Raw genomic sequence first — 11107 nt, 5'->3', positions numbered from 1 at the left:
GGTCTGCCCTGAGGGGAGCACCCTCCCTGGTACTATTCCCATCAATCCACTCCCTGTGCTGCTCCTTTCTCAGATCTCCCTTTTCAGCTCAGATTCCCCCAACCTACCTTCACAGGGAAGTAGTAGGAGCGAAAGCTGAGGTGGTCCCGCCCACAGAGAGGGGGATGTTCAGACCGCAGGTGCATTTCCACATGCTGGAAGAAGTCATGGTCCTGGCAGAAGAAACAAAAAATCTGTCACTGAGAAGTGATTTCAACTAGTCTAGAGTTTCCACAAGCACAACGAACAGACAAGCCATTCATTTTTACTACACAAACACACGGGAAATATCTAATCACTTTCTGATAATCACAGGTTTTTCTGCTACAACACGATAGTTAAACCCCAAAAGGAGACCACATGTTGTCTGCAGTGCAAGAGAGAATGCCACACATAAAGAATGGTTTGTGAGGTCAGATTCCTGATCCCAGCTTCCTTGGCTGGAATAAAACATGCCAAACTCTGGCAAACCTAGAGTTGATTCCATATGGCAGTGTGTGCCCCAGGAGGGATCATCCCATCAATCCTGGCAATCCTAGTCTGTGGAGTCCAGTTCTAAAGCTCTGGGCTCAGGCTAACCTTGTAAACTCGCATCAGACTGAAGCAAACCCTGGGACACTATAAAAACAAACGGCCTGGCCGGGCGCGGGTGGCTCACGCCTGTAATCCCAGCACTTTGGGAGGCTGAGGCAGGCGGATCACAAGGTCAAGAGATCGAGACCACCCTGGCTAACACGGTGAAACCCCATCTCTATTAAAAATACAAAAAATTAGCCGGGCATGGTGGCGGGCGCCTGTATTCCCAGCTACTTGGGAGGCTGAGGCAGGAGAATGGCGTGAACCTGGGAGGTGGAGTTTGCAATGAGCTGAGATTGCGCCACTGCACTCCAGCCCGGGTAACAGTGAGACTCCGTCGCAAAAAAAAAAAAAAAAACCAAATGGCCTTCCCTGGGTGCGGGAGAATCAAGATTCCTATCTCCCCAAGTACTTCTGTCACTTTATAATTCCCAGAACATTATTAATTATATGTGGGGACAAATGAATTTGACCTCTTAGGTAGATCCAGCACCAAGAAACAACCTTAAAAGTCAAGGCCAGAGTAATGTGGGCGCTCTCACCTCATGGGACGTGAATGGCACAAGGATGCCAATTCCTCCAGACAAGGTGGTATAGACAAGTGATTCTGAGCCTCCAGGGATCAGCGTGGTCTTCTGCAAGGACAGCACCGTCTCCCCGACATGGTAGTTCATGATCACCTCTGCCTGTGAGTCACAAACAGACTAGTGACTGTGTGCACCCTCAGGAGCCTCCCTGGACTCCCAAGGGCAAGCAGTGCTCCCTAAGGCACATTTCATCATCTATTAACATCCAAAAATTATTATAGAGGCCAACGTGGGAGGATTGCTTGAGCCCAGGATTTCAAGACCAGCCTGGGCAACACAGTGAGGTCTCGTATACCCATACCCACAAAATCTGCCAGGTTTGGTGGCATGTACTATAGTCTCAGCTACTCAGGAGGCTGAGTGGGAAGGATCACTTGAGCCCAGGAGGTGGAAGCTGCAGTGATCTGTGATTGTACCACCACACTCCAGCCCGGGCGACTGAGTGAGACCTTGTCTCAAAAACAAACAATAAATCCAAAAATTATTAAACCCTACAAATATTTTAAAATTCTCACATTTACTTAAAGCTTAATGCCTCATAAAACATGCTAAAGTTACTGTTCATCATTTCTTACGATAAGAATCATTTTGTTAAATTTATCAAGCTTGCCATAAAAAAGGAAAACACAAAGAAAATTATAGAAAACAGCAATCACTAGGCTTGTCTTCTAAAATAGATTTGCCCGAAAGTCCAGAGATGCTCTATTAAAGCAGCACATGCCTACAGGAGAAAGTAAAGCCCAGGACACACCTCAGAGCAGAGGACTGGGAATGGACTCTCTCTAAGAAACTCGCTACTCTCCAAGGAGATTTTTTGCAGATTGGTAAGAAAGGACTGTGGACGGACAGCACTCAGCACAGTCGTGTGCACTATGAATAATTCACCAAAGGCAATTTCTTCAGTGAGGGCAACAGGAAAAGTGCTAAGCAGTGTTCTCCCTGGGGCCCATTCTGCAATCTTACCTTCTGGGAGGCCCCATTGAGCAAGCCACGGTCCCACAGGGCTTTGTTTCCTGTAGGATCCTCATCTACTTCATCATTGGTGTTAGGTGGGAGCCTCACCTACAAGGAAGTGACACAAGTCACACTGCTGGGGCCCGGACCTGCTCACCTGAGTCACCAAGCAACAGGTCTGGCCAGGTCTTTGCAAGTCAGCCACAGGGGCACTGCCTAGACAGAGGCCTGAGCCCACGTGTCCTGCACCTGCTCTGGTGGGCAGGAGCTGTGTCTGAGGAGCAAGAAACTCAAAAGAATCGACCCATGAGCAAGAGTTTAACACAGCTAAGGGTAAAACCAAAACCACACAACATAGATAACAGACATTCCAAAGTTCTTATAAAATGTAAAAAGAAATATTAGCCATTAGCTCAAACTAAACCTATCATTAAATCACGTTCAATAGGGAGGAGGGAGATAAACCACAGAGAAAAATCCAAAAGACTAGTAAGAAGGCTTAAAGAACAGATTGCTTGTAGAGTTAGCTTTAGTAGGATGGAATTTTATATCCATTTTTACTTCTCAGATTTGATTCCTCCTTGGCTTTACCCACAAGAAACTGAGCCAGCTTTCCTACACATCACTGTAACCCAAGTTAACAACATCAACTCACCACACATATGTTGCCAAACTTGTCTGCCCCAGCCACAGTGTCATAGTCCAGGAGGCTGGCTGTAGTGACCCATCGGGGGTAGGTATCATCAGCAAAGATGATAAGCTGGTTTTCATTACGCTTGTAGCGAACCCAGATGAAACTTTCTTGGACATCAGATACAATTACCCTATGTCCGATAGTCTGGATCCCAGAGATATAATTGGCAATATGCTGGGAAAAACAAAGACAATAGTGATGGTGGGTGTAATCTTGGGGTTCAGAACCCAAAGAAAGCCCAGCTTTCCGTATGACATACGTAGGGTCAGCAGAACAGCAAATACCAAAAACCAGCAGTTAGCAATGAATTCTAGGTGGGAAAAAAGAGCCAAATAGCTTTTAATATAGTGCAAATATATGCCTAACTCTCACATTTACTTTCCTTATAGAAGCTAGCAAGATAGAAAGCTGGTTCTTGTTTGGTAAGTCAAGAAATGAGATCCCTCTACTCCTGCTCCTCTCAAAACTCAAGGGCCGGTGCGGTGGCTCACGCCTGTAAACCCAGGACTTTGGGAGGCTAAGGCGGGTAGATCATGAGATCAGGAGTTAAGAGACTAGCCTGGCCAACATGGTAAAACCCTGTCTCTACTAAAGATACAAAAAATTTGCCAGGCGTGGTGGCGCGCATCTGTAATCCCAGCTACTTGGGAGGCTGAGGCAGGAGAATCGCTTGAACCCAGGAGGCGGAGGTTGCAGTGAGCCGAGATTGCGCCACTGCACTCCAGCCTGGGCAACAGGGCGAGACTCCGTCTCAAAAACCAAAAAACAAAAAAACAAGGGCATAATTCTGAAGCTGGAATTGGGGTAACACAACAAGTCCTAATAAAGATAAGATTTTAAAACTCAATGCCCACCACCCCACCAATGCCCCCACCCTTGACACATGAGCTAGATCTCAGCACCAATGCCAGCACACTTACCTTATTCTCACATTTTCGGAGTAACTTCTTCTTTCCCAGGTCATAGACACGCAACAGCTTCCCCACACCAATCAACACCCTCCCCTGGAATGGGGCAATAGCAGCAGGGACCTCTTCCACAGGAGTCTATAGAGGAAAAGCAGGTAATACAGCTATTATAAATGCCAGCCAGACACAGGCCTCACCTCTCTGCCCAGAAATGCCTACTTCCACAGGAGCCTATCATTAAGAAACACACCAGTGAGCTTATTTTGCTAATGAATCTGGGTGTTGGGGTGAACAAGTTCCGCATGCTGCATTCACTCAGTAGAGGGATCAATGCTGTAACTGACAAGAAGTTCTGGTACCAGACGACTGCTGTCCAGAGCTTGTGCTCTGTTTAACTGGTGTTATTTCAACAGTGAAGCCTTAGTAGCCAAGTGACTGTAATTTGTGGAGGGACAGGAAAGAAATGCTAGTGAAAAGTGACTTTTTTTTTTTTTTTTGAGACAGGGTCTCACTACTGCTCAGGCTGAAGGGCTGTGGCAGGCGCAATCATGGCTCACTATAGCCTGGACTTCCTGGGCTCAGGTGATCCTCCCACCTCAGACTCCCGAGTAGCTGGGACTACAGGCATGTGCCATCAAGCCTGACTAATTATCTGTATTTTTCGTAGAAACTGAGTTTCACCACATTGCCCAGGCTGGTCTCAAACTCTTGGGCTCAAGTGACCTGCTCGACTCAGACTCCCAAAATGCTGGGATTACAAGCGTGAGCCACTGCACCCAGCCTAGTGACATCTCAGTTGTAAAGGAGAGACAAATTTAATATGCAAAAGGGTCTATGAAGTATTTCTTAGAGGATACTCCCCTTATGGTAGGGTTGAAGGAATCCACATGCTGTCATTGTGGAGAAGAGAATATTCTTTTTATTTTAAAAATTATGGTAAAATAGTCATAACATAAAGTTTACCATCTTAATCCTTTTCTTTTTTTTGAGACAGAGTCTCGCTCTGTCACCCACGCTGGAGTGCAGTGGCGCAATCTCGGCTCACTGCAACCTCTGCCTCCTGGGTTCAAGTGATTCTCCTGCCTTAGCCTCTGGAATAGCTAGGGTTACAGGCGCCCACCACCATGCTTGGCTGATTTTTTATTTTTAATAGAGATGGGATTTCACCACGTTGACCAGACTGGTTTTGAACTCCTGAGCTCAGGTGACCCGCCCACCTCGGCCTTCCAAAGTGCTGGGATTACAGGCGTGAGACACCATGCCCAGCCAGTCATTTTTAAGTATACACTTCAGTGGCATTAAGCACATTTACTGTTGTGTAACTATCACCTCCAGAATTTTTTTCATCTTCCCAAACTGAAACTCTGTACCCATTAAACAGTAACTTCCCAGAGAATGCAGGTGGAAAAGAATATTAAATCTTTTTTTTTTTTTTGACAGTCTCACTCTTGTCACCCAGGCTAGAGTGCAATGGCGCAATCTCGGCTCACTGCAACCTCCGCCTCCCGGGTTCAAGCGATTCTCCTGTCTTAGCCTCCCGAGCAGCTGGGATTACAGGTGCGTGCCGCCATGCCTGGCTGATTTTTGTATTTTTAGTAGAGACAGGCTTTCACCATGTTGGCCGGGCTGGTCTCGAACTCCTGACCTCAGGTGATCTGCCTGCCTCGGCCTCCCAAAGTGCTGGGATTACAGGCATGAGCCACTGCGCCCAGCCAGAATATTAATTATTTAAACTGCTGAATTTTGGTCACAAATTGTTGCCTGCTTATTAAAACAGTAAGAAAGAGACCAATTGAATGTGCATCTATCTCCCCATTATGGATGGTTAGCACAAAGCCTTCCTGTGGAATGCACAGGCACAAGAACATCACTGCAGCTAGAAGGCCCCAGCATTTTCCATGTGCTGGTAAGAGAGAGATTGGAATCAAGGAGCTGGTCCCCAAAAGACCTGATCCATAACATAAGCAAAAGTGAGAGAATTCAATGGGACTTAAAATCTAGGAGAACCACTGGCAGATTCCTACCTTGTGCAAAAACTCCAGTTTTTCCCCATTGTTCACAAGCTTGTAAGTATAGACGAAGCCCCCTGCCACAGATCGGGGGTTTAGTATCAGGTCCTTGGCCACACCCACCAGCACATACCAGTCTTCACCAGTGTTGGAAAACCTGCACACAGCCACACTACACACAGAATAAGAAGCAAGAGTAAGGCCTTAGTCAAAACTCAGAGAGCTCCTGTTCCAGCCTGCCAAACCCTGGACTGTCCTGGGCTGCTTACCTAAAAGCTGCCTCATTCTGTTCCAGCTGGACAAGGTCCAGTGTGTTCCCTTGAATGGGATTCATCACTCGGATCACAGAGGCCCACTGCCCATTGCCAGCCTTGGGAGCTCCAAAGATGGATTCAGGGAGGTTTTCATTGAGGAATGCTGCTGCCATCTCTGCGGCCAGCTCCCGCTCATCCTCCCCTGCTGCTTCCACCATTTCCTAAACCCAAAAAAACGAGTAACTGAGTTGGCGTGCTCAGAGGTAGGGGCTGGCTGAGAAGAGGATAGGTAGCAAGAACACTCCAGGGGGTTCTCAATACATAAAGCAGCAAAGTCAGCCATCCCAGCCAGGATTTCCCGACATGACTATTAAAGGGAGAGGTGTACAGACTAGGGAAGACAGAAGATCAGAAAGGGAAATCCAGACATTGCTGGTTACATATTAGTAGAAAACACCAAAAATAACAATAGCTGTGACAAATATTGGACTAGTGGCTTGAGAAAAATGACAACGGAAACTCCACTTTTCTATCCAACCCATCTGATTTCCCTTACTAAAACTACTCTGTCTCCACTCTTTAAGGATGGATACAGTTCTACGTGGTTGTAGCTATTTGGTTTCTGCTAGGCAATGAGTTCTAGAAAGAGCTGGTGTTGTGGAGAACATGAAAGCTGTCTCTTTTGGGCCCAAATAAAGGAAATACAGTCTATTTTGGAAGCTCAAGGACGGGAGAATTCTGTTTCAGAGAGGGAACTTAATTGTGAATAAATGGAGGTCAGAGTATAGTCCTGGGTTACAAGAAAGGCTCTAAAATGAAGTACTTTGGGGCAAAGGCCTCTGCTTAAAAAAGCTGAAAAAAGCCTAGATCTTTAAAAACAAAGAATATACTAACAATTACAGGAGTTTAAACTTTTGATAGAGTCTCGTGTCCAGAGTGCCACTGGTATGCAGTGGCATGATCATGGCTCACTGCAGTCTTGAACTCCTGGGCTCAAGTGATCCTCCTGCCTCAGCCTCCCAAGTAGCTGGGACTACAGGAGTGCACCAACACACCAGGCTATCTTTTAAAATTTTTAATAGAGGTGCAGTTTTGCTATGTTGCCCAGGCTGGTCTCGAACTAGTGGCCTCAAGCAATCCTCCCACCTCAGCCTCCCAAAGTGCCGGGCAGTTTAAACTTTTCAACATAATTTCACACATCTTTTAATAGAACCCCTGAACGTTAGTCTCATTACCTCTGCCATCTGCTGCTTTCTCTGAGCTTTCGTGGCCTCAGTGTAGGCATTGTGGTCCGTTTCAATGATAATAAGGTTGTTACTCTCAGGGTGGATGACAAATTTCCTGGGTGTGTACTGCAGTGGGAAGGCTACTTGATTGAAGACAGCACCGAGCTTCTCTAATGCCAAAATCCTATGACAAAAAAGCAAGGCAGTTATTTAATACTCACTCGGACCCAGAAACTGGTGTTGAAATAGACTTTGAGCAGTCAGCAAACACGTCAATCCCTGGAGCTCTAACGTTGGCATTAGGCAACATTAAACAACAGCCTCCTACTCTAGAAAACTCTGCGATGCAGACACAGAGATCCAGGAAGGGCCTTCCCATTTGGCAACACCCTACCACAATTCACAGCAGTTCTAGTTCCTACCAATGAAACACAAACGATTGTCAAAAGTTTTTTTTTAATCACTCCAATGATAATAAAGAGCCCAATCCCAAATTTGTTGTGAAACACTGCAATTACCTAAACATATATGGTATTTGTAGTGACTGTGCTTCATAAAATAAAGTGGATACCTTTGTGAACAAAAATCACCTCAGTTCAGGAAAACTATGACAATGCAAGAGACAGCAAATAAGGGACCTACAAATTTCTGTCAAATGGGACAGAGATGTACACATAAGCCAAACTATGTGCAAAATGAGCAGAACCCAGGTACTCTGAAAAGTATAGTTACCCGATCTCTAATGATGGAGTTTTATTTGTAGTTTATTCTCTACATTAAAAAAGATAGGGGCTGCGTGTGGTGGCTCACGCCTGTAATCTCAGCACTTTGGGAGGCCAAAGCAGGCAGATCACCTAAGGCTAGGAGTTCAAGACAAGCCTGGGTAACATGGTGAAACACCAACTCTGTTGAAAATACCAAAAAAAAAGCCATGTATGGTGGCGCACGCCTGTAGTCCCAGCTACTTGGGAGGCTGAGGTGGGAGAATCTCTTGAGCCCAGGAGCTCAAGACCAGCCTGGGCACCAAGGTGAAATCCTGTCTCTATAAAATAGAACACAAAAATTAGCCAGGCATGATGGCATGCGCCTACAGTCCCACCAGGTACTTGGGAGGTTGAGGCAGAAATAGCTTGAGCCCAGGAAGTTGGGGCTGCAGTGAGCCATGATCACACCACTGCACTCCAACCTGTACAACAGAGTAAGACCTTGTCTCAAAAAAAAAACTTAAAAATAAAAATAATTAAATAAAAAAATAAACTGCCTGCCAAGAACTCTGCTTTTATGTCTCATAAGTCACCTTCCCTGATTTAGTTTTGGGGGGAAGTAAGTTCTGCTGCTAGGAAAGCCTAAAAATCTGTAGCGATTGTCTAAATCTATAGCAATTCAGGAGGTAGGGGCCACAGATGAGGCTACAACAAGGCTGGCTTAAAAGACAAGGGGAACACTGACAGGCAGGTATGTATGTGGGTGAAGCATTCTAGCACAGGTAGAGATTAAAAAAATATTAAGTGATGTAGAGCAGTGCAGGGAGATCAATTCTGCTGGAGCAGAAGATAAATACAAAGATGACGGAAAGAAAAAGGACAATGACCATGAAAAGACCCTGAAAGTTGTTGCAAAGAAATTTTGGGAGCTCATTTGATAAGCAATAGTGATTAATCTATCAAGAGGCCATAGTTTCATTATGAACAGCCAATAGTTATAACCAGGATGTGAACAACTTTGGTGGCTTAATTTTAAAAGCCCCCCAAAACCTGAGGAAGCCAAACTGACTGAATTATTTTAGGTTCTTTTCCATCTTGCAAAGAATATTACATACAGTGCTCAAACTTCACATCAATATTACCAGGAAGAACAGTTTTGTCAACTTGAAAAAGGTCTAAATAACTTATAGATAGGTTAACATTTAAGATTTAATACCGCAAATGACAAGACAGAGTAAGAAAGGTTATCAATGCAGTGATCCAATACTTGCTCTAAAACTAATCCAATGGCAATACCCTTTTGCTAGAAAACAAAAATCTGAAATCTCAGGAAGATTGGACTGTATTAAAGCTTGGCCTTGAAAATCTTAACAGAAGCTAAAACACCGAAACTTGGCTCTCAGGTACTAAAATGCTGAGCCAAATGAAGGTTTCAATTGCAACACACAAGCTTCATGGTGAAGTCGGCTCTCTGCCACCTCTTCACAGCCTCCTCCAACACTCTGGCAGAACCAGTCTGAGCCCTTGGCAGAAAGGCTTCCTGCTGAGCTTCAAACATGAGACTCACTCACCGTAGGGTGTTGGTGGAGATGGCCACAATGCCCTCGGGACACTGTTCCGAGGCAAAACCCGATGCAAATTCCAGTGTCTCGTAAGACAGTGGGGTGAGATGGAAGCGAGATTGGTAAGAATAGCTCAACCATGAGCGGCTTGACATGGCCAATACCTGAGGGGAAAAAAAAAACCCAGCTCCAATAAGGTTTGGGAAAAAATACAAATATGGTATAAGCTGACCAAAAGCCCTATCCCCAAATTTCAGTCTGCAGAGTATCCTAAGATATTCTAGAAATATAACAGGCTATCTTAAGAAAAAGAGGGCTAGAGAGAGGCACTATGGCTTAGCATATGTGAAAAGCATGGGCTACGAGCCATATGATCTAGACTCACCATTTCATCTCTCTAAGCCTGCTTCCACGTGTGTAAAATGAAAACAGTACCACAAGGCTGGACAGCTGCAAGAATTAAATGGAATGAAGGCCAGGTGCGGTGGCTCATGCCTGTAATCCCAGCACTTTGGGAGGCCACGGCAGGCGGATCACCTGAAGTCAGGAGTTCGAGGCCAACCTGGCCAACATAGTGAAACCTCATCTCTACTAAAAATACAAAAATTAGCTGGGCGTGGTGGCATGCGCCTGTAATCCCAGCTAATCGGGAGGCTGAGGAAAGACAATTGGTTGAACCCAGGAGGCGGAGGTTGCAGTGAGCCAAGCTTGCACCACTACATTCCAGCCTGGGCGACAGAGTGAGACTCCATCTCAAAAAAAAAAACAACAAAAAACAGAATTAAATGGAATCAATTAGCACAGTGCCCAGAAACACTAACATTCTTAACTACAAAGGACACAATGTTTCCCAGTCTCTTTCACATTAGGTAGTAAACGTGACACTGATCTAAGACTGGGATAAAACCTGAGAATTCTCATGGCTAGTGGTGTCCTAGAGGGGAGGTTTCCAGCCCTATTTGACCAGCCAGAGGGCTAAAGGGATCGATATCTCTACCCAGCTATAACCAAATCATGACATGGTGCGATGGAGCCCCAGTGAGGAAGCTCTAGGTTAGGAAAACTCAGGACTTCTCACATGAAGGAAACCAATCAAGATGGAGTGGCAAATTAGTGACAGTGAAGCTTACAGCAAAGATTGTTCTCAGATGGTGCCACTAAAATCCCAAAGATGTTGCCTGTCCCCAACCTTCATTACTTACTGCCTCCTGGCCTTGCATTCGGACTCGGAAGAGCTTCACAGGACGGGACCCCAGGTACCGAGTGCGAGTATCAGACAAATCCCCAGTGACAGGGTCCAAGACAGTCCTCAGCAGCACACCGTTCTAATCAAAAGGAGAGGAGCAGGTGAAGCCTGATGGAAGCTTATCAGCTATGATGGGAAAACCTCTCCCTTGGGTACTTCACATAAGAAATTAGAGCAGATAGAAAGAAATGACTTGGGTGTTTAAAAAAGATCCTAATAATCCGATAGCCATTCATTTCATTCTCTCAGTAAATCACTTAATCATCCAAAGTTATGGAGCATCTACTAAGTAAATACACACTTATTTTTCACTATATCTTCTTAATATTTCTTTTTACCAAGTATATT

General features: G+C 45.3%; 1 protein-coding gene across 1 annotated transcript in view; it reads right to left on the bottom strand.

Annotated features, from left to right (window-relative positions):
• SF3B3 (splicing factor 3b subunit 3) overlaps positions 1 to 11107 on the bottom strand; it is a 53853-nt gene that overhangs the window by 6362 nt on the left and 36384 nt on the right. Inside the window, exons 16-25 of the mRNA NM_012426.5 lie at positions 10716 to 10838; positions 9523 to 9677; positions 7257 to 7431; positions 6037 to 6242; positions 5783 to 5939; positions 3771 to 3896; positions 2812 to 3024; positions 2166 to 2264; positions 1158 to 1301; positions 108 to 212 (exon numbers count right to left, since the gene is read on the bottom strand). Of these exons, the coding sequence (NP_036558.3) occupies positions 108 to 212; positions 1158 to 1301; positions 2166 to 2264; positions 2812 to 3024; positions 3771 to 3896; positions 5783 to 5939; positions 6037 to 6242; positions 7257 to 7431; positions 9523 to 9677; positions 10716 to 10838 (1503 nt within the window). The remainder of the gene's footprint in view (positions 1 to 107; positions 213 to 1157; positions 1302 to 2165; positions 2265 to 2811; positions 3025 to 3770; positions 3897 to 5782; positions 5940 to 6036; positions 6243 to 7256; positions 7432 to 9522; positions 9678 to 10715; positions 10839 to 11107) is intronic.

Source organism: Homo sapiens, chromosome 16 (genome assembly GCF_000001405.40).
Source record: "Homo sapiens chromosome 16, GRCh38.p14 Primary Assembly".
Taxonomy (NCBI): Eukaryota; Metazoa; Chordata; class Mammalia; order Primates; family Hominidae; genus Homo; species Homo sapiens.
This window is presented reverse-complemented; position numbering and strand designations above follow the sequence as displayed.